General features: G+C 38.9%; 1 protein-coding gene across 10 annotated transcripts in view, besides 2 other annotated features; it reads right to left on the bottom strand.

The window, feature by feature from the left end:
- Positions 1-22,660, bottom strand: part of PLEKHH2 (pleckstrin homology, MyTH4 and FERM domain containing H2) — a 130,728-nt gene that overhangs the window by 41,994 nt on the left and 66,074 nt on the right. For all 10 annotated transcript variants that reach the window (XR_001738621.2, XR_001738620.2, NM_172069.4 and 7 more), the window contains 8 exons: positions 21,938-22,013; positions 19,578-19,672; positions 18,449-18,593; positions 15,868-16,004; positions 15,664-15,774; positions 15,419-15,505; positions 13,611-13,769; positions 5,245-5,325 (listed from right to left, as the gene is read on the bottom strand). Coding sequence is in view for 8 of the 10 variants with exons in the window: in NM_172069.4 (NP_742066.2) it covers positions 5,245-5,325; positions 13,611-13,769; positions 15,419-15,505; positions 15,664-15,774; positions 15,868-16,004; positions 18,449-18,593; positions 19,578-19,672; positions 21,938-22,013 (891 nt within the window). In the remaining 2 variants the exon portion in view is untranslated. The remainder of the gene's footprint in view (positions 1-5,244; positions 5,326-13,610; positions 13,770-15,418; positions 15,506-15,663; positions 15,775-15,867; positions 16,005-18,448; positions 18,594-19,577; positions 19,673-21,937; positions 22,014-22,660) is intronic.
- Positions 6,857-7,057: a silencer, noted in NCBI's record as "peak3684 fragment used in MPRA reporter construct". NCBI's record gives its function as "represses an SCP1 promoter by STARR-seq MPRAs in K562 erythroleukemia cells {active_cell/tissue: K562}" and the evidence as "EXISTENCE:reporter gene assay evidence [ECO:0000049][PMID:32103011]".
- Positions 10,770-10,969: a silencer, noted in NCBI's record as "fragment chr2:43942164-43942363 (GRCh37/hg19 assembly coordinates)". NCBI's record gives its function as "represses an EF-1alpha promoter that drives an FKBP-Casp9 reporter gene in an ReSE screen in HepG2 liver carcinoma cells {active_cell/tissue: HepG2}" and the evidence as "EXISTENCE:reporter gene assay evidence [ECO:0000049][PMID:32094911]".

Raw genomic sequence — 22,660 nt, 5'->3', positions numbered from 1 at the left:
GGCACATGCCACCATGCCCAGCTAATTAAAAAAAAATGATTTTTTTTTGGAGATAGGGTCTTGCTACATTGCCCAGGCCAGTCTCAGACTCCTGGGCTGAAAGAATCCTCCTGCCTCAGCCTCCCAAAGTGCTGGGATCACAAGCGTGAGCCACCGCATCAGTATAACATACCTTTTTAAAAATGATGCCTAGAGGCAATTTGATTATCCACAGTGTAACAAAAGTAGTGGCAACAACCAAAGAGCCTAAAAGTAATATGAAAGAACCATATACATATTAGAGATTTAACTTCTGAGGAAAAAACAAGATGCTACTTTTATGCAGTAGTTCAGATGATTCAGCTGTACTAAAATTCTTATAGGAGGCAGAAAGAAATTATTTAGATAGACAGTTAGGGTAAAGCAAGTCCCCAGCAGAAAACTTTCCTTTTTAAAAACGCAGCTCAAAGATAGCTCCTTTTCTAACCCCAGGCAGTTCAAGGAAATCACTTCTCTTCTAACAACAAGCAGCCTGAAAGAGCAGACAGTGAAACACAGATAAGACAGCTTCGGCACAGAAGGAGGGGGGAAGGTCTCCTGGGTAATTACCAAACTCCACACTTGTACAATGGGCCCCCCAATAAAACAGTGGGCCTTAATAAGCACATTCTTTTCCCTTTGGACACACTAAGATAGAGAAGCTAAAAGCAGACTAGAGGGGGTGCCTACAGCTGCAAGAAGATGGCAACAAACACAAACTCTCCCTCCCAGATAAGCAGGACAAAGAAACACAGACTAACAGTCAGCCTATGTGGTTACGGAATGAGACAGAGCTGATAAAAAAAACTCTGCTCTGTACAGATAGCACACCTGGTTCCAACTAAACCATCAGGAGGATAAGATATCCCCTCCTTACAAGCTCCCTCCTCGCTAGCCCATTTATAAAAACCCTGACATCTTTACTACAAATTGGCAACCCACTCGGGACCCTTCTCTGTGATGGAGAGGTGTTCTTTCCTTTTGCACTATCTACTAAACTCCTGCTCTAAACTCACTCTGTCTGTGTGTGTCCATGACCCAGATCTCCTTGTCCTTGAGAACAAGAACTTTGGTATTTACCCCAGACAATGAGGCTGCTTCAAAATGACCCATTATTTAGTTAAGCAACTAGTCATAATTCACCAAAACAGTCATTTGACTTTTTTATCCCACAGAATTGATCAGCAATTTGATTAAGTTATTGGATCAAAAGGACAAGTGTATACATAGTCTCAAAACTGCTTATTGAAAAGAAAAATATTGTTCCTAGAAAAAATAACAAGATTAGATAGGTAGTGCAAAACGAACTATCATCCCAAATGCCAGTAAAGGAGGAGCATTCCAAGGCTCTTTGTTATATATCACAAAACAATACCATGAATTTCTCCATCTTAAGGGTAAGAAAAACTTCCTAAAGCCAATTTATATTAAATTTTATCTAAGCTTTTATTGACAAAACCAACTATATCTGGTGTGTTGAATATTTGGCCTATCTGTTGTAAAACTTTTGCTCTAATTTAGTACCTTTATTCCAGGAAAATACACGGTCTGCATCAGATTTATAACTTCTAAAATATTTGGCCAAGTTTGCAATTGGAGTTTTGAAAAAGTTCATTCTAACTACAAGGATATTTACCTCACACGTTTACATGCTAAGTTTCAGGGCTCAGTGCTGGAGCCCTTCTTCCATCTATGCTCACTCTCTGGGTGACCTCATCTAAGCTCATGGCTTTAATACCAGCATGTTAGCTACTCCCAAATTTATAACTCCAGACTCACTAACTCTACTTAGATGTTGGATAGCATTTCAAACTTAACAGCATTTCAGACTTACCTTGGTAAGTCCTCCTTGACAACCTGCTCTGCCCAGTCTTCCCCATCTCAAGTTGTTGGCAATGTTACTTTTCTATTAATAGCTATTAACACCCAAAACCTTGGCATCATTGCAGTCTCTCATACTGACTTTTCAGTCAATAAATCCTGTCAACAAGACTTTCAGAATCTATCTAGAATCTGTTCATCTCTCACATGTCCACAGCACCACTAAACCACAATCCCCTCTCACCTGGATTACTGCAATGGCTCCTAACCCATCTCCTCCTTATTCCCTCCGGTCTATTCTTAATCAGCAGTCGGCGTGTGCCTGTTAGACACAGGCAAGATCATGTCCCTGTTCCGCTCAAAGCCCTCCAGTTGTTTGTCATCTCACTCAGAGCAAAAGCTGAAGGGTGGCAGAATCTGCCACCCCAACAGATATCACTTTGGCATAAGGGTTATTTTGAACTAAAGGCATTTTTAAAAGCAGCAGGTGCAAGAAGGGTGTTCTGACCCTCTGCGTTTTCTTCCCAAAGGCAGGAGGGAACCTGCCTTTCATAACGCCTATATGAAAGATATCCTCCCTTTACCAGAAGGAAAGTAAGATTCTTGTCAAGATGGGAAGCCGAAGCCTGGGGAAAGTTATACAAACAACCCTTGTTAAACTTAATCTTATCTTCCTCCTCACTTCTCCACCCAAGTAACTACCCCAGCCCAAGTCTCTTTGCCTTGTCACATTTTCACAATTTACTACACTTTGTCCAGTTTGGTGTATAAGTGTTCACCTTTATGTCTTGGAGTCTTCATTGCCTTAGGAAGGCTCCTCTGTGATGTAAAACTTAAATAAATGTATATGTTTCTCCTGTAATCTGTCTTAATGTGAATTTAATTCTCAGGCCTGCCAAAAACCCTAAGAAAGTAGAGGTAAAATTTCGCCTCTCCTAAAAAGCAAGCTTTTAATAATAGGATGAAGAAAACAAATTCTATTAATACTATGATAATACATAACAATACTAACCTAATTGTGTACTTTAGGCACAATGATATGAAAATCTAGGTTTCATCCACCCTAATATTTAAAGATGGTTATTCATTTTACCAAAGGATGCACCATGCCTTGATAAGCAGCAAACAGACCTAGTGGTTTCAAATATTTTGATTTAATAAAAAAAGACATTGATACAGATTAAAAGCAAATTCTTTTGGAAATATTTATAGCAAAAAATGAAGTAGGCCTATAATGATTCACATATATTCTCAATACTTTTCCAGTTGTTATAATGGATTTCTGTTTATGTATCCATTCTTCTGACTTGTTTCTTCTGTGATCAATGCTATCCATTTTTATTAAATTATTTTTCTATTTATAAAAACACATGCTTATTACAGAAACTTGGTAAGTATGGAAAGGATTTTAAAAAGAAAGAAACCATCCATATTACTGTGATCACAGATAATTATTTTATTTAGATGTGTCAGACTGAGATTTATAAACTTGGCCTTCCAATCACCATCCTCTAAGATCTCATAATTACAGAGAAATTGGGAACTGTATTTGCCAGAACCTCCTTCCCTGTTATGGTTCCCAGTTAGAGTTTCCTGTGAGAGAATCTACTTGAAGTTTAGAAGGAGAGGGTAGAAGAGTTGTTATTCTCCTGGGACTACGGTGGCTGATGTTGGGGCTCATGTAAGATTCACTGAAGCTTCCCAGTGAAGCCTCGAGGACCAGCTGCCTTCAGTCCTTTGGCCAGAAATCTTCAGTGTTGTCTTCTCTGACCTTCATTGGCAGTTTCCCTAACTTTTACCACTCCCATACAACTTTTCTAAAAGTTATGTAAGTTATAAAACTTCTCTAATATTTACGTATGTCCACAATTCTATATTAACATTTTTTTTTTTTTTTTTGAGATAGGGTCTCACTCTGTCGCCCAGGCTGGAATGCAGTGGTATGATCACAGCTCACTGCAGCCTCAATCTCCTGGGCTCAAGCAATCCTCCTGCCTTAGCCTCCCAAGTAGCCAGGACTACAAGCATGCATCACCATGCCTGGCTAATTTTTTTTTTTTTTTTTAGTAGAGACTAGGTTTTGCTATGTTGCCTAGGGTGGCATTAGATCTTTTACACCTGTAACACGTACAGTGGCTTCTGTTTTCCTGACTGATGAGTTAGGATTACATTGACAGCACAATTTTGTATTGTACATATTCGGGTAGCATTTGTATGTCGGCATTTTCCCACACTACTTCAGAGATTGTTTGTTTGTTTGTTTATTTTGAGACAGGGTCTCATCCTGTCACCCAGCCTGGAATGCAATGGTGCGAATCACAGCTCACTGTAACCTCCACCTTCTGGGCTCAAGTGAGCCTCCAACCTTGATCTCCCTAGTAGTTGGGACTACAGGCACACACTACCACACTCAGCTAATTTTTAAATTTTTTGTAGAGACAGGTTCCCACTATGTTGTCCAGGCTGGTCTCAAACTCCTGGGCTCAAACGATCCTCCCACCTCTTGGCCTCCCAAAGTGCTGGGATTATAGGCATGAGCCATCATGCCTGGCCTCAGTATTGTTTTTAATGGCTGTACTGCGTTAATCTCTACCCCATTAGCAACACTGAGTATAACGGCATGTATTTTAAATACAGCTGGTCAGACCTGAGAGTGTAGGCTATCAAAAGGGAAGGAGAAATACTAACTGTCCCATGTGGTCACTAGACCAAGAAGTTTAGTCTCATTAACACAGTAACAGTCACAGGCTGCTCTTCAGAGGAGCAGTCATCATTATGTTATACAAGTACTCGTGGCCCATGTTGGTTCAATTTTTATAGCTTCAGTTATCCAAAGGTGACACAGAATACCCATAATGATGACTGGGCATGCGTTTTACCTTTGGGCAGACACCCCATCTTTTTATTCTGAAATTTAAAATAATTCAGATTCTTTTGGGGAGGGGATTAGTTTAAACATTAATAAACAGAATATAAACAGGCAGATGGATGGGTAGATAAGCGGTATTCGGGAATTTGAGGGCTTGGGACAGAAATAGATTCCTTTTCCTTTTTAGGTTTTCTTTCCTAACTTGCTGCTTCCTTCTATCAACCTTATCTGGTCTGTAAGAACCTGGGAAAATATAAGAAACTGATGGTTGTGGGGAGGGAATAGAAGAAGACTGTTCTAGGTCTTAGAAGATGCATTAATTAAAAGTTGCTAAGGCTTGTAATTAAGAATCAAGACCCTTGTAGGTGTAGGTGATAGACCTTTGTGTGATTTTCTCAGTTGCACCAAATTATACCAAATTTCAACCTCATAAAGATTCTGAAGTTTTACAAAGTAAGAGAAGAGAGAAAAGGAAAAGTTTAAGCCCTAACACACAAAAAGTTACTTCAATTGGCATATTAAAAATACATACATACCTTATCTTCTTGACTCCGAAAATAATATAATGTCTTTCCTATTAGTGTACACCAGACTCTCTTGGAATATCCATGTTTTACCTGAAACCATATTTCAATGAATTACAAGTTTAGCCCAGAACTCTGACACCTTAAATTATAGCTTATACACCCTATTTGAGTTTCTATAGGCATCCAGTTTGCCCAGATATAAGTGATATTCCAAATAGATTGTCCAGTGCTGTTTAAGATGTACCTGTCACACATTGAGCACACATGGACATAAATAGGGAAACAATAGACACTGTGGACTAGCAGGGTAGAGGGCACCGGGGTGGCTGGGTTAAAAAGCTACCTATCGGGTACTATGCTCACTACCTGGGTGATGGGATCTGTACTCCAAACCTCAGCATCATGCAATATTCACATGTAACAAACCTGCACGTGCACCCCCTATATCTAAAATAAAAGTTGTAAAAAAAAAAAAAAAGATTTACCTGTTAACAGTAGTAGAATGGCAAGTTTTGCTTTGGTGCTCACCATTCAACATACAACGAATGTTTACTATGCATCAAACACTATGCCTAGGACTGAGGTTTCACAGATGGATAAAGAAGGGAGTGGAGGGGTGGATTATGGGAAATTATGTAATGGGGTACAATGTATGTTATTACGAGTGATGGGTATCCTAAAAGCTCTGACAGAATCACTATGCAATCAATGCATGTAATAGAATTCCACTTGTACCCCATGAATGCATTAACATAAAGAAGAGAAAGTGCAGTTTCACCAGTAAGTATATTTCATAGTTTCCACATTTCACAGATTTCCAATAGCCATGTGGCTCTCTAGGTTAACACTCTAATGTCAATGCATGTAACAGAATTGCACTTGTACCCCATGAATGCATTAACATAAAAAAAGAGAAAGTACAATTTCACCAGTATATTTCATAGTTTCCACATTTCACAGATTTCCAATAGCCCTGTGGCTCTCTAGGTTAACACTCTAACATTAGAAGTGAGAAGATGAAGGCTGTGCGCGGTGGCTCACGCCTGTAATCCCAGGACTTTGGAGGCCGAGGCGGTGGATCACCTGAGGTCAGGAGTTCAAGACCAGCCTGACCAATATGGGGAAACCTTGTCTCTACTAAAAATACAAAAATTAGCCAGGCGTGGTGGTGGACATCTGTAGTTCCAGCTACTCAGGAGGCTGAGACAGGAGAATTGCTTGAAACCGGGACACGGAGTTTGCAGTGAGCAGAGATCACACCACTGTACTCCAGCCTGGGCGACAGAGCAGGCTCCGTCTCAAAAACAAAAAAGAAGTGAGAAGATGAAAACCTGAAGAATTCTAGTAATTTCCCAAATGTAAAAGATTCATTCATTCAAAAACATTTGATGCCTTCTTAGAAGTAATCATACAAAGTAATAAAATAATGTTAAAAGCTATTACTGTAAATTGAGTACCTCCTGTATATCAGGTACTAAGTTAAGTGACTGGGACAGAATTTGAATCTAGCTCTTAACTTTGAATAGTCAGTAAGTGATATAGGCCCTGGAGTAACAGATTTGAACAAGATACAGTCTCTTTCTCGGGAACTCACAGCCTTGTGAAGAAGACAGACAATTAAATCAGCAGTATGTTAAATATTTTCATCAAGAGTGCAGAGGCTCACAACTGGGCTGTTGTGAGAACCAAATGAGAAAATGTAAATAAAGGATGACAGTAGTTACTCAATAAATGCTTCCGTCCTCACTATGAATAAAAAGTAAAACACATTTTCTTTTAAACTCATAAACCCAGTCAGCCTTTGGGCTTTCAAAGCTGTGGTTTAAGCAAATGAGTAACTCCACCACCTAACGGTTTGATGGATTTAGAATGCTGTTTGAGAGAAAACAAAAAATGTCTCATTTGAGACATGTTTCAATTTAATTAAATTTAGAAACATATTTACAGACAAATATCCTGGAAGCTTTAAATAGCGCTGTGTGGGGTGTTTTTTTCTTTTCTTCTTCAAACAATCTTCAGAAAGAAGTCTCATAAAAACTGAAGTATAATGCATCTGGCTATAGACAGTGTACTTCTGAAATGATTTATCTTTAAAAGAGAACAATGTATGCCTTCGAAGAAATGCAAATTAATGAAGACCTTTGCCAATTCACTGTAAAAGCTGTGTTTTAACAATCTATCTTTATACATAAATCTTGTATTAGAATTTTTTTTTTTTTTTGAGACGGAGTCTCGCTCTGCCACCCAGGCTGGAGTGCAGTGGCGCCATCTCAGCTCACTGCAACCTCCGCCTACTGGGTTCAAGTGATTCTCCTGCCTCAGCCTCCCAAGCAGCTGGGACTACAGGCACGTGCTACCATGGCCAGCTAATTTTTGTATTTTTAGTAGAGACAGGGTTTCACCATGTTGGCCAGGATGGTCTCAATCTCTTGACCTTGTGATCTGCCCGCCTCGGCCTCCCAAAGTGCTGGGATTACCACTGTGAGCCACTGTGCCTGGCCTAGAATTTCTTAAATCTCTGACTTACTCTTTAAAAAACTAGAAAACAAATTATACTGGAAGAATCCTCACGAAAATTTAAAGGCAACCTCAAATCTCAAGGTGATCTAATTAAAAGAATAATTTTTTACCATGCTTCCATGACAAAGGTAGTTTCTATTGGTTTTGTTTGAAATCTTGAAGACAAACAGTATATCATATCCCAATTAGCCCTTGCCACTGCACAAACCATAAGCCCCTATGGTATTCTCTCCTTCCCCATAAGCCCATCCCTGTAGCATTCTCCACCACAAATCCTGCCACCAGCCTTGCTGACTTCACTATCAAGGTGAAACTCTTGGATGATAATAGCTAGCATTTTTTGGTGTGTTTATGATGTGCCAGGCACTGTTCTAACACAATTTATATGTTTAAATAATTCACTTAATCCTCCCAATACCCTGTGAGGTTGGCTCTATTATTATCCCCATTTTATAGGTGAGGATGCTAAGGCACAGAGCCTGTAAGTAACTTCTTCAAGGTCACACAGGTGGTAAGTGGCAGAGCCAGGACTTGTGCCCAGGCAGTCTTGTTCCCATCCTTGCCCTTGCCTCTTGGCCACACTGTCTCCACAACCTTGCTCTCTTCACTTCCAGTAACCTTTGCTGTCCCTCCACTTTTGCCACCCATCCCCTCAGCCATACCCTAATCCTTTTTCCTTCACTGGGAACTGCTCCACTTCTGCAATTTACTTTCTATTCTCTGATCACAACTTCCTCCCAATTCCTCCCACTTCCCTCCCCCTCTCACTTACCACACTCCTATTCTTGGGTTTGTTTGTTTGTTTGTTTGTTTGTTTGTTTGAGGTGGAGTCTCACTCAGTTGCCCAGTCTGAAGCACAGTGGCACAATCTTGGCTCACTGCAACCTCTGCCTCCTGGGTTTCAGTGATTCTCCTGTCTCAGCCTCCTGAATAGCTGGGATTACAGGCATGTGCTGCCATGCCCGGCTAATTTTTGTATTTTTAGAGAAGACAAGGTTTCACCATGTTGGCCAGGCTGGTCTCAAACTTCTGACCTCAGGTGATCCTCCCACCTTGGCCTCCCAAAGTGCTGGGATTACAGGCATGAGCCACCATGCTTGGCCCACACTCTTGTTCTTTACCTCATTCATAATTTTAAGCCCCTTGATCCTTCCATTTTATTCTAGCTTATCAGTCCCCTCCTGGCCCCATGTCCTTCTCTGCCAACTTGGGTTTCCATGTTTGATCACGAAACAACTCTTGCTCCAGGGCCTGTGATTATGCTGTATTCCTTTGCTTCTAACAAATCCACTCAACAAAATTCCATTTGCTTTTAAATAATCTAGTGAAGAATGTGACAAGAGACAGATGGTTATAGGAAATAATATTAGCCATAATTAATAACTGTTGAAACTAGATGATGAATATATGAGGGCTCATTATATTATTCCCTCTATTTTCACATACATTGGCAATGCCCATAATAAAACATTAATTTCAAATATCATCTTGAAAGATACGTGGTAAAGCAAGTAAAATGTTGATTGTAGAAACAAGGTGATGGGCATATGGTTGTACACTGTAAAATTATTCTGCTTTTTTGCATATTTGAAAATTTATATAATAAACTGTTAGAAAAAACCACTATCCTCACTTCACTACAATGTAAATTCTCTGCTCCTTTTTCTGGGCATCTGAAGATGTTAGAGAAAAATATTCGATAAAAACTCAAATCAGAAAGTCTGGTGGGCCTTCAATAATACTTACCAAGCCTTCTATTTATCCTTGGGTACATCCTACTTTCCTGAATGATTATTCTCCACCCTTTTCCCCACTCTTAGTAAATAACATTGTCGTACGGAATAATGTTCATTAAGAAAACTGAGGATATTAGACATGATATCACTCAATGTCCTACAAACTTAAGATACTTTTCTGCACCCTTCCTCACTTTTCCTCCAGTTTCAGCCCTTCCAGTGTGCCTTCCCACTATGTCCAGCCACCCACTTCTTCTGGACTTTGTCTTTAATCCCCCTCCTCCCTTCTTCCAGGGGCCTTCCCCTTAGTTTGTGAACTCAAGGTACATCTTTTCCACCCTAAAAAATGCCTCTCCTGACTCCAGGTTCCCTCCAGCTTGATTCTAACATACTGAAAGGTATAGATAGTCCTTGAAACTCAAATACTTCACTTATTAATCTCCCATTTACCCTTCAACCCACTGAAGGCAACGTACCTTCTTCTCTGAGCACATGTGACACTAGATCAGTCACAGGCATTACTCTCAGACCTCTGCACACATCTCCTTACTGTGCCCTTAAATTTACAAGTGTTACCCTGCTCTCCCCTGCCCTACATAATTTCCCATAATTGCCACATGTATGCTGATGATTCCTCGAATCCTTCTCTCCAATCCAGCCCTCCAGCACTCTTCTCCGATGTAGACTGGTGGTCTGCTGCCTGCTGGACTTTTTAACTAAGACATCCTACCAGCTCCTGATGTCTTCCAAAATCACCTAATCTTCCTAAAACTGCTCCTCTTTCCTGAGCTCTCTCTTATCTGCTATCATCTTTCTACCAGGCATCTTTATCTCTTCTACTTCCTAACCCCAAATTCAATCAAACTAAAGATTTTACCTCTTACCATTATTTAAATTCATCCTCTCCTCTCTTTTCCTGTAACCCCTTCAGAGTTTCATCCTCTTCATAGGAACCACTCCCTTAACTGTTCTTAGAACCTCCACCTTGCCTCCCACTGATTCATCTTCCTCTTAGCAGAGTAATCTGTTAGCAACATGAATATGCCCATGCTCCTGTTACAAACCCTGCAGGGTTTCAAATATCCTTCAGGATAAAGACCAAAGTCCTTAAAAAGACAAAAATAGCTTTCCACCATCCATAGGCCCCTCTAGCTTTTTCTCCAAAGGACTTGTTCCTAGTGCAGCTGGCACTGCTTCGAGATTTTTTTTTTCTTTTTTTCTTTTTTTTTAGACGGAGTTTCATTTGTCGCACAGGCTGGAGTGCAACATTGCAATCACAGCTGATTTCAACCTCCATCTCTCAAGTTCAGGCGATTCTCCTGCCTCAGCCTCCCGAGTAGCTGGGATTACAGGTGCCCGCCAGCATGCCTGGTTAATTTTTGTATTTTTAGTAGACGGGTTTTCACCATGTTGGTCAGGCTGGTCTCGAACTTCTGACCTCAGGTGATCTGCCTGCCTCAGCCTCCCTAAGTGCTGGGATTACAGGCATAAGCCACTGCTTCAAGACTCTAAGCCTTCATTCGCGCTGTCTCCTAGCCTAGAGTACCACCCCTCCACCCATTCCCACTTGGTATAACTAACTCCTACTCCTCCTTGAAGACTCGGCACAGGTAAATCTTCTCTCAGAAGTCATTACTGACACATCTCAATAATTGTACTTTATATCATTGTAAATAAGCTTTTGTCTCCCTCTTTTTTAATAGATTATGAGGCTCTCTGAGGAATGGGACAGTGGCCTATTCATCTTAGTATCTTTCAGCACATTGTGCTGCATGTGGTAACTGCGTAATACATTTTCGTTTTTTAAAGAACTGAATTTTTATATAGAAAATGTTTTTCCTAAGCATTAAAATAAAAATTGCAAGAGTGACTGTCTAGAATCAAATTAGTCAAGTTCTTAGCATCTACCTATATTATTCTGTACTTAATAAAAACAATGTGACAACCTGAGAAAACTTCCTCCCCTCCAAGGTATTCAAATGCAATTTGACAGTATCTCATATTGCAGCCTGAATGTGAGCTCAGAACAAGTCACTCAGAATAACTGAGGGAAGCTGTTCTCTCATAAGGTTCTAAGGGTGAAAATATGGGGGTGGACAAGCACAAATGGCAGGAAGGAAACTTAATAAGCATCCTGGCTATAAACCCTAATGATTTAGTCATCTGAGAATCCCATCGACTCATACTCATTTAAAATGCAATTGTGAAATGGGAAGTGGAGAATCGCAGAAATGTTATAGGAGCAGAAACTGACATGCCTTGCTGATAAAGTAAAAACAAGCAAGCAAACAAAATCCTAATTGTGGGGGAAGTAATAAACCCTTAGCCATGGGATCATCTTAAACTCTCAGGGTTTGATATGCATATGAGGTCCTTGAAACAAGAGCATAGCTCATTATTATGAATTATAGTAAGAATGTGATTTAAAGTAGCAGTGTGTTCACTGGAAAAGTATTGTGCAAATATTTTGTTCCCTAACCCATCAGTAACTAAGAAAACATTTTCACAGTCGTATTTTAGAAAAAACATAGTACATAGTATATTTCTTTGTTTAATGCAATAGTGAATTAAGTTTTACCTTTGCTATAGTTGGTCAGTCTTTTTAAATATTATGGAATAACACCCACCTACATTCCCACATTAATAATAAGTATAAACTACACAGTAGCATAGTTACTTTCCATCTAATTTTCCACCTCTTACATAATCAGAGTACATGAATGAGGAGTGATTATGTGTGTATACATATTTTGTTGTATTTTTCAAAAAGTGACCAATAGGACTTTTTAAAACTTAAAAATAATATTAAGTCAATACTTACTCATTGTAAAAAAAAAAAAAACAGAATTAAGCAAAAATAAATAAAATCACAGAGATAACCAATATACTTTGGTATATTTCCCAGACATTTTTCTATAAATACTTACAACAAATAAGGTATAATAATGTAATACTGCACTCTACTTATTACCTAACAATACATCATATTTCTATAGCATTAGATATTCTTTTACAACATTTAAAAGGCTGCATAGTAAAGCATTATATGGTTGTACAAACATTTTTTAAAGCTATACCTTACCCTACATCTAATTTGATCCCAATTTTTCTTTATTATGAACCATGCTGTGCAAGGAATCTTTCTGGGGTAATGGAAATGTTCTGCATCTTGATAGAGTCAAAAGTAAATAGCTTTCAAAACTAGTCAAACTCTACACTTAAGATCTGTGCATTTCAGATATATTAATCATACCTCATTTTTTAAAATAGGAAAAAAAACATGCTGTGAGGAACATCTCATAATTAAATCTTTTGCAAATTAAGACCACTTCCTAAGGATAAATTTTTAAAACTGAGATTGCTGGATCAAAGGAGATATATATGCGTGTGTGTGTGTGTGTGTTGATTTGATATTGATTTGTTCACTCAAAATTATTGGCTAAGTTAACACTTCAGCCAAGATATTGCCAAACTGCCTTTTAGAGTAATGCTCTCACTAGCAGATTTCTTTTTTTTTCTACTGCCTATGTAATTGCAGAAACTAGCAGATTTTTTAATCTGTGTCAATACTAGGTTTCAAAATTTGTAAAAACGTCTTACTTTTCACCAGATTTTAAAAAGTGCCACCTCTTATTTCAATCTGTGCTTTTAAAAAAATTGAGTGACAGTAAAATGTTTTTCCATATGCTTATTGATCATTTGTATTCCTTCTAACCTCGATGATCTCTCTTTCCTGCCCATTGAGTCTTTTGTTCCTTTTCCCCCAATTGGTGTTCATTGTTTGCTTACTGATTAGAAAAAAACGTGTTAAATATTAATGATATTAACCAGTTTTCACATGTTTCAAATACCTCTTCAAAGTTTTTCAATCCTTCTTTTAAAAATTCTGCTCGTAGAATTTTTAATAGAGCCTTTACATTTTTACATATTATAGTCAAATTTGTCTTCTTTTCATCTTTATAGTTTTTGCCTTGGGCATCATACTTAAAAACACCCTTTCCTATCCCCAAGATCATATCAATATTCAATATATGTATATGCTCTGACATCCCATTTTCAGCGATCATGGGCTCATGCCCATAGCTGCCTGGGACATTGCTATGCACAGGAGGTTCCTACCTTAGTGAGCAATCCCTTCATGGTGGGTTTGCCCTCAGGCTGCAGGGAAAGTGGGTTGGCAGCTTGTACTCGAAGAACATTCTGTAACACTTTAATCCACTCTTCCAATATATTGGGAGAATCTGCAGTCAGATAGTATGTGTGTTTTTCAGTGGTCAACTAGAATGCAACGAGAAAGGTATAGGAAAGAAAACTGTGAAGATTTAGGATTGTTAGCATTTCCTTGTTCATTATTCAAACGTCATTACTTAACACAGAAGCAAACATGCTAAATCTCAAGTCCCAGTTTCTAAATAAATGACTCCATATCAGTTAGAATATTTTAACCACTTTGTGAGAATTACAGCAATTAAATTTTTGTGGAAATAACTTTGTTACTCCAGTTTACCTAATTTTGGGGTTATGATTTTATATCTTGTTTATTTGTCACATTTTCCCTTTCTTGCTTAAATGTGTTACAGGTTCCTACTTTTCTTTTTTTTTTTTTTTTGAGACAGAGTCTCTTTCTGTCGCCCAGGCTGGAGTGCAGTGGCGCCATCTTGGCTCACTGCAAGCTCCGCCTCCTGGGTTCACACCATTCTCCTGCCTCGGCCTCCCGAGCAGCTGGGACTTACAGGCACCTGCCACCATGCCCGGATAATTTTTTTTGAATTTTTAGTAGAGACGGGGTTTCACCGTGTTAGCCAGGATGGTCTCGATCTCCTGACCTCATGATCCGCCTGCCTCAGCCTCCTGAAGTGCTGAGATTACAGGCGTGAGCCACCGCGCCCGGCCAGGTTCCTACTTATTGAAATGAGGAGCAGAATGATTAAAGACTATAATAAAATAGCATAGTTTTAGCAACTAAAGAAGAGGTTTCTTAATACAAATGACAAAATCAACTATAAATAAAATAAGAAGATCTTGCATATAAGAAGATAAATTATTGGAACGAACATGTGATTAGATATTATGAACTCAGAATGTTCCAGTCTCAAATTAGCCACACTGCAAATTTTCCAAATTTCAGAAACTTACAAATGATTCTTAACTGCCATGCCCAAAGACAAAGCTTTCCTTGATTCTCCTTTCTAAATTTTTGAGAGGTTTTCAGGTACAAATCACTGGAAACATTGATAATGTACCTTTCTGGCAAAGTTGTCCTCCACCCTCCAAAGGAGCAATATAAGAAAATAATGGTTATTGAAGACATTTCAGAAATAAAGTGTCTGACTTTAAATTACATATACTAGAATATCTCAACAGCCTGTGTTTTAAATTTAACAGATTTCTGGCAAGACTGGCCTTATGTGTGAGTAAAATGGGCAGCAGCTGCCCCTACAGTGTGACTTGCTTGGCAGCACACTCCCTCTGCTCACCAATATATTTCCCACTTTGGTGTTATGGCATCTGAAGTTCATATAAGAACTGTCATTTTCAGATTCTATATTAAAATACAAACATTCCTGAATTTCACAGTACATTATATAACTAACATCTTATTGAGAATTCATTTACCAGATAACCCTTCCTTAAAATAGCTTCACAGTTGGACAGCTGAAAATACCTAGGAGATTAAATATGAGGAAAGAAGAGTATAAAGGAAGAAAGGTAAAGTGTGGTGGGAGTTACTCAACACACACCTAACTTACATTATAGTTTTAACCAAAAATTCGTGGAGTTTCACATACTTCCAAGGCATCAAACTAACCCCCCAAAGTGAATAAAGAAACACTGAATTATCCTATCTCCTTTCCATTAGGTTGGATAATTGAGAATTGAGTCTGGCATGATACAAAAAAAAAAAAAAAAAAAAAAAAGTTAAGTACCTGAACTGTTTGTTTGTTATCTCCTCTTAAAATACTACAGGATGCACTAAGTTCAATATGGCCCTGGGGTTTTCTAATTACATCACTCTGTATGAAACAGAAAAACAAATGGAAAGTGATTAACTTTAACAGTAATAATAAGGAATGCTTTGTATCATTACTTGCATTATGGGAAGGAAATCAATCAGGCGTCTGATTTATAGTTTGAGGAATTACGTTCTAAACAGAAAACACTTTCCACTCACCGGAGATTTGTAGTAAAGTAATTCACCACCTTTAAGAACAAACCACCGCCGCTTCCAAGACTTGACTTTACCACTCATTTTTAATAAATAACCAGATTTTTCCAGTGGTTCCTAATTTTTAAAAGATAGACAAAAGCATTTTCAGTTTCCTTTTGGAGGCTCAATCTGACTGACTGCTTTTTAAAAATCATATTCAATATTTACATTTTTCCCATTATCACTGGAAGATGAGCAAGTTTTTGGGAGCTTCTGCTCTGGCTGTGAGTACTCCGTGTCTGTGGAGTAAGCATCAGGAGGAATAGCATAATCACTTTCAGAAGCCACAGAGGAGAGAGACACACCTAAGAGAACAAAGAAAGAAATCAAGTCAGTATTTAATACTGGGGAGGGCCAAACACCAGCTCTGAGTGCTCCTACAGAATGCAATTATTCCTAAATCATAAGCCTCCCTAGACTAGATTTATTCTCATTCCTTTGGCCATAAATAACTTTTTTTGAGACAGAGTCTCGCTCTGTCACCAGGCTGGAGTGCACTGGCACAATCTCGGCTCACTGCAACCTCTGCCTCCTGGGTTCAAGCGATTCTCCCGCCTCAGCCTCCCGAGTAGCTGGGGCTACAGGTGTGCGCCACCACGCCCAGCTAATTTTTGTATCTTTAGTAGAGATGGGGTTTCATCATGTTGGCCAGGATGGTCTCGATCTCTTGACCTCGTGATCCGCCTGCCTTGGCCTCCCAACATGAAGAACTTTTAAAGCAGAAAACAGAACTAAGAGGTAGGGACTGTCATGTAAATCTCTAAGGAAGTGAAAGGAACAGGAATAATATTTTGGTATGATTACAATCACACAGCTATTTTACATATATAAAATATATGCAAGAGTCTACTCATGTATATTTTATTAAGAATTAAAAATATGTGTATTTACACATTGACATATAGGCAAACAAATGTTGAACCTTAATTTATCAAGATTTTCACAATCACATTTTAAATTTCTTAACTTCTGTAATCACTTTTAAAGTAACCTCACATTTTAAAAAAACACAATTCAGTAGTATTTTTTCATTCAAGTTCCATAAGCTACTAAGCAGTTTACAGATTTTAAAAATATTTCATAAAAGAGAAACAATAAGATTGAAAGATATAAACAAACTATTTCTTTCACTTGCCAGCAGCTATAACATAAAATTCAATGGAACATTTATACAATGATTCATTTGCCTTTACAGAAAACTACCTGGGAGTTGCAAGCCACATTTCATGAGTCACTACAATTGGAGATTTAGAATATATTAAATAAAATCAAGGACTTAGGTAATTATTTATAAAAGTATCCAGCAATTTTTAAAAATATGTATTAACATTTAAGGGACATATTAGAACAATGCCACTCTTGTGACACTGCTTTTTATTTGACTCAGACAAGTAACAGTTGCTATAATATCTTCATTTTTCATAGAATAAACAAAAATGTAGACCTATAGGGACCTCAGTGATTGTCATGGCTAAGGCCCAAGGAGACTAAGGCCCAGAGATTAAAGGATTTGTCCAAAGTCAAAGAGTTAGGCAGGGGCAATGTTGGAACACAAGTCTCAGGCTCCCAGGACCAGGGCCAGTGTGCCAGGCACTGTCCTAGATGCTAGGGATAGAGCAAACAACAAAAATATTGGCTCTCGTGGAACAAATTCTAGCGGAAGGAGACCACTGACAAACAGGCAGTAGGTGGTATGGAACAATAAAACATAGAGCAGACTAAAGGGAATAAAAAGAGCTGGCAACAGAAGAAAGACAAAGGGCTGCAATTTGAGTGGTGTGGTCAGGGTGGACCTCATTGAGAAAGCAGCGTTTGCTGATGGAGGTGAGGGAGTCAGCTATACGGACATCTAGGGGAAGAATACCAGCTGGAGGAAACAGCAGTGCCAAGGTCCTGAAATGCAAGCATGCCTGGCATGTCTCAGAACAGCAAGAGGGCCAGTGAGACTGGAGCTGAGTACAGAGAAGAAAGGAGATGAGGTCAAGTACGTGACCGAATCCTGGAACACCTTATAGCCGTTGTGAGGAGCCACTGCAGTGTTTCCAGCAAAAGTGTGTCATAACCTGATTCTGGCTGTAGCGGGGCAAGTTGAGAGCAAGAAGACCAGTGGAAGCTCAAAATATGAAACCAAGGAAGGCTGAGCAGCTCCAGTTGAAGCCGAGGGGATTGGAAGTATCCAGAGGTTCCATGGAACACAGTTTGAAAGCCAACAGACACACCATGCTGCATTAAGGGCTTTTTATAACATACAGATGTCATTTGGTGGAATTAGATCTCTCTGTAACCACTACCTACACACAGAATGTCTTCAAAATCCACTAAAAATCATAGACATATTCCAAGTAAATGTTGTTCTCCACTTTAACATCAGATTAATTGACAAATTTTAAGGTATATTTTCTGCCAGTTAGCAGTGTAACAACTTTAGCTGAAATAAGTCTATTTCACAAATGCCAAGAAAGAAACCTCATTTTGGCCAATTATCTCACTTCATTCCAACAATAAAGTGATCTCCCTCTCACAGACAATAAAAAGCTGAAAAAAAAAAACTATATAATTTGTCTGAAATCACAGAGAATTAAGAAGAGAATTAGGAATATAAACATATCAGTCATAGGCTAAAGTTCTTTTCACTAGGGTCTGAAGCAAGTTCTTGGATTTAAAAAATAATCCTGTAATGGAGATAAAATTCCCAATTAATATTCAGAATGATCTGGAGTTGCCTCATATGCCTGCGATTTTCCCTCACCTCGTTTCATGGCTCTGGGGCTGCCTGGCCCACTCCTACTGCGTGAGTCTGACTCTGACGTCCGGGAGCTGGATCTGGAGCTGTCTTCTTCCTCTGACCCAGATGAGTCATCCAGGAAAGGGCTGCTACTTATTTGGGTCGCCTTCTAAAGAAAAGTGGAACAACCTCCCTGTATCCATCCCTAATGTTACCACTCATCCAAGAAAAGGCTGCTAGTTATTAGGGTCGCCTCCTAAAGAAAAGCAGAGCAACCTCCCTGTATCCATCCCTAAGGTTATCACTCTTTTTAGATAACAGAAAGTTTTACAGGAAGAAGTCATAGCATAGAATTTTTTTTTTTTTTTTTTTTGAGGTGGAGTCTTGCTCTTGTCACCCAGGCTGGAGTGCAATGACATGATCTCGGTTCACTGCAACCTCCGCCTCCCAGGTTCAAGCGATTCTCCTGACTCAGCCTCCTGAGTAGCTGGGATTACAGGCACCTGCCACCACGCCCGGCTAATTTTTATATTTTTAGTAGAGACAGGGTTTCGCCATGTTGGCCAGGCTGGTCTCGAACTCCTGACCTCGTGATCCGCCCGCCTCGGCCTCCCAAAGTGCTGGGATTACAGGCGTGAGCCACCGTGCCCAGCCAGCATATGATTTTTAAAAGGAATTTGGGAATGTATTTTGCTGTTATCAAAATCATGTTGTTAAACCCTGAATTCTAATAAGCAATTATAAAAGATGCCTGAAAATATAAGGTTGTCAATACCTGCAATCCTTCTTTTAATTAATACTTCAAGCAAGGAAGGGGTACCCTGGCACTGATACAAAGATCTGCCTAAATTAGGAGTTTTCATTACATTATTAATAATATGTCTCCTTTAAACAATTCATGGCCATGGGGAGGTGGGGGAATCACATGGGACACAGTAAAAACTGACTCAGACCTCTAACATTCTGATAAGTGTCTTCTGCAGACCTTTCCATTCCTTCTTTTTTATGATATGTTAACGTGAACTTGTAAAACTTTCTATAAAGGGAGAGCCTGTGTAAAATGTTAAGAATGGAATCTGGAGCTTGAATTAACAATTTCCTTGATCCATCATGAAGAGAAGCACATGTTTTAACAATAACAATAATGAGTTACCCCCTTCAAAGTTGTATACACTGGGGTGGTCATGTTCTTGTATATCAGAGATGTATAAAGTCCTGATGTAGTATAGGAAAGGGTTGCAGCAGAATCTGAAACAGAAAAACAGGAAACAACATTTTAAAAAACTTCTAATTAGCACATTGGTCTTTTTCTTATGAATACAAATGAGCATAATCTCCATTTAAAAAGCAATTCGATTAATACATGATTACTAACTGTATAGTCTACTTTACAGATTATGGCATTTACAGGTTTATTTATACACTTTTTTACATGGTTCATTATTTCCTCATGTGTGCTAGTTCCCCAACTAGACTGCAAGCTCTTTGAGAGCAAGAACCATAGCTTTTATTTCCTTGAAATCTCCATGCATGCTTTGCTCAGGCTGGGCAGAACTAAGTACAGGCAACTGCTTACCAACCAATTCAGTAAGCAGTACATAGGAAGATATTCTCTGACTATTCATAACCCTATTACCAGCATGGTATCAAAACCACTGTTCTGGTGGGGCATGGTGGTTCCCATCTGTAATCCCAGGACTTTGGGAGGCTGAGGCAGTGGATCGCTTGAGCCCAGGAGTTTGAGACCAACCTGGGCAACATGGCAAAACCCTTTCTCTACTAAAACCAAACATGGTGGCATACACCTGTAATCTCAGTTACTTGGGAGGCTGAGGCACAAGAATTGCTTGAACCTGGGAAGGGGAGGTTGCAGTGAGCCGAGATCATGCCACTGCACTACAGCCTGGGCGACAGAGCAAGACTTGTTCTCAAACAAAAACCAAAACCAAAACCACTGTTCTTAAGCCTTTATCAGGTAAATCTGATGTTGAAATATTGGAATGTAATTTCCTAGCTAAGTGTAGTGGCTCACACCTGTAATCCTAGCACCTTGAGAAGCTGAGGCAGGAGGATTGCTTAAGGCCAGGAGTTTGAGACCAGTCTGGGCAACACAGTGAGACCCCCATCTCCACAAAAAATCTTAAAAAGTATCAAGGCATGGTGGTATGCACCTGTCATCCTAACTAATCAGGAGGCTGAGGCAGGAGGATCGCTTGAGCCCAGGAGTTCAAGGCGGTAGTGAGCTATGATCACACCACTCCACTCCCACCTGGGTGACAGAGTAAGACGCTGCCTCAAAAAAAAAAAAAAAAAAAAAAGGATAAAATTTCCTGAATGGAAAGAACTGCAGATAGCTGAACAGGAACTGAATATCAATAGTTACCCCTAACATATGAATTAGTGGTGGGATAGGGAGGAGGTGGTAGAAAGAACCACAGGAAAATTTCTTGTTATTCCAGACAGTTCTTGTTGTTTGGTTTTATTTTTTGTAATGAGCATGCATTGTTTCCATAAGAATTTTTTGGAAGAAATAAAGAAAGGGGAAATGTGTTTTAAATTCTGGGAAAAAAGGACATAGAAGCCTATATTTTTACCATTTTAAACAGCTGAAATGCCACAGTTTCTCTGATTTAGTCTCTCTCAGGTAAAAAAATATACATCAGAGTTGAGTGTATTTGAGTCCCCACACTAAGATGAATTTCAATTTTAAAATACAAATCAGCAACCCTAGAAATCATTTTTTGAAAGTTTACACAACTCTTTATTCCAATGAATTTAGACATTTAGGAAGTTCTTAGCGAATGAAATAGCAATGCAAATCACTTTTCTAAACTTTTTTTATTGTGGGAAAAAACACAGAACATAAAATTTACCATCTTAATCTTTTTTTTTTTTTTTTTTTTTTTTAAGACAGAATCTTGCTCTGTCACCCAGGCTGGAGTGCAGTGGCACAATCTCAGCTCACTGAAAGCTCCACCTCCTCGGTTCACGCCATCCTCCTGCCTCAACCTCCCGAGTAGCTGGGGCTATGGGCGCCCGCCACCACGCCCGGCTAATTTTTTTTGTATTTTTAGTAGAGATGGGGTTTCAACGTGTTAGCCAGGATGGTCTTGATCTCCTGACTTCGTGATCTGTCTGCCTCAGCCTCCCAAAGTGCTGGGATAACAGGCGCGAGCCACCGTGCCCGGCCCATCTTAATCATTTTTAATTGTACAGTTCAGTAATGTTAAGTGTATTCACACTGTTGTAAAACAGACCTCTAGAACTTTTTCATTTTGCAAATCTGAAATGCTATACCCAGTAAACAATAAATTCGCTTCTCCACGCACACCCTGACCCTGGTAACCGCCATTCTACTTTCTATTCCTATGAATTTGACCCTTTAAACACCTCCTTTAGGTGGAATCATACAGTATTTGTCTTTTTGTGACTGTACCATGTATTTGTATTATACTATCCCTTAGCACAAAGTCCTCAAGGTTCATCCAGGTGGCAGCATGAAAAAGCACTTACTTTTATTAACACTCTCCATATTGAAGGCCTCAGACATTCGAATACCTGATTTGGCTACAGCATAAATTCTGCTTTCCTAGGGTAAAAGAGAGAGTTTGAACAGGGTATTTAAAGCAAAAAAAAAAAAAAAAAAAAAAAAAGACTACTTTCAATACACATGTTTTTCATTTGTTCTTCATTTAAGATTCACTAGAGTACAGCATTATTATAAAACCATCATCGGTGCCAACTAAAATATGCCATTGTGAATAGTACTGTTGAGATTTTTCTCCATCTGTTAGTTTTTCCATTATTTATCTTTTTCCCACATTTTTGTTTGATAAATTATTTTGAAGACGTGAAGAAAAAGTAAGAGAAAGCTTTTTCACAATCACTGACTACACATAAACACCACCTTTAATATTCTTACCATTCTAGAATATGGTTGGCGGTGGGGAGAAAAACCATGAGTGGCTATAACATTAAGCTAGAAACCATTCTCAATCATTGATTACACATAAACACCACTTTTAATATTCTACTATTCTGGAACATGGTTAAACAAAGAATGGAAAAACCTGAAGTCAGAAGTCATAGATACAGTAGCATTAAATGCTATCGCCTTCCTATGTCAATGTACATTTCACTCAAGTAGAAGAGATACCTAAAGTCAAACAAGAAATGAATATGAGAATTGCAATGGAATTTATATTATCTTGTTCCAAAAGTAGATTATTTTGTTTT

The sequence above is a fragment of the Homo sapiens genome, chromosome 2 (assembly GCF_000001405.40).
Source record: "Homo sapiens chromosome 2, GRCh38.p14 Primary Assembly".
Lineage (NCBI taxonomy): Eukaryota > Metazoa > Chordata > Mammalia > Primates > Hominidae > Homo > Homo sapiens.
Note: the sequence above shows the minus strand (reverse complement) of the source record. Positions and strands in the feature narration are given on the sequence as shown.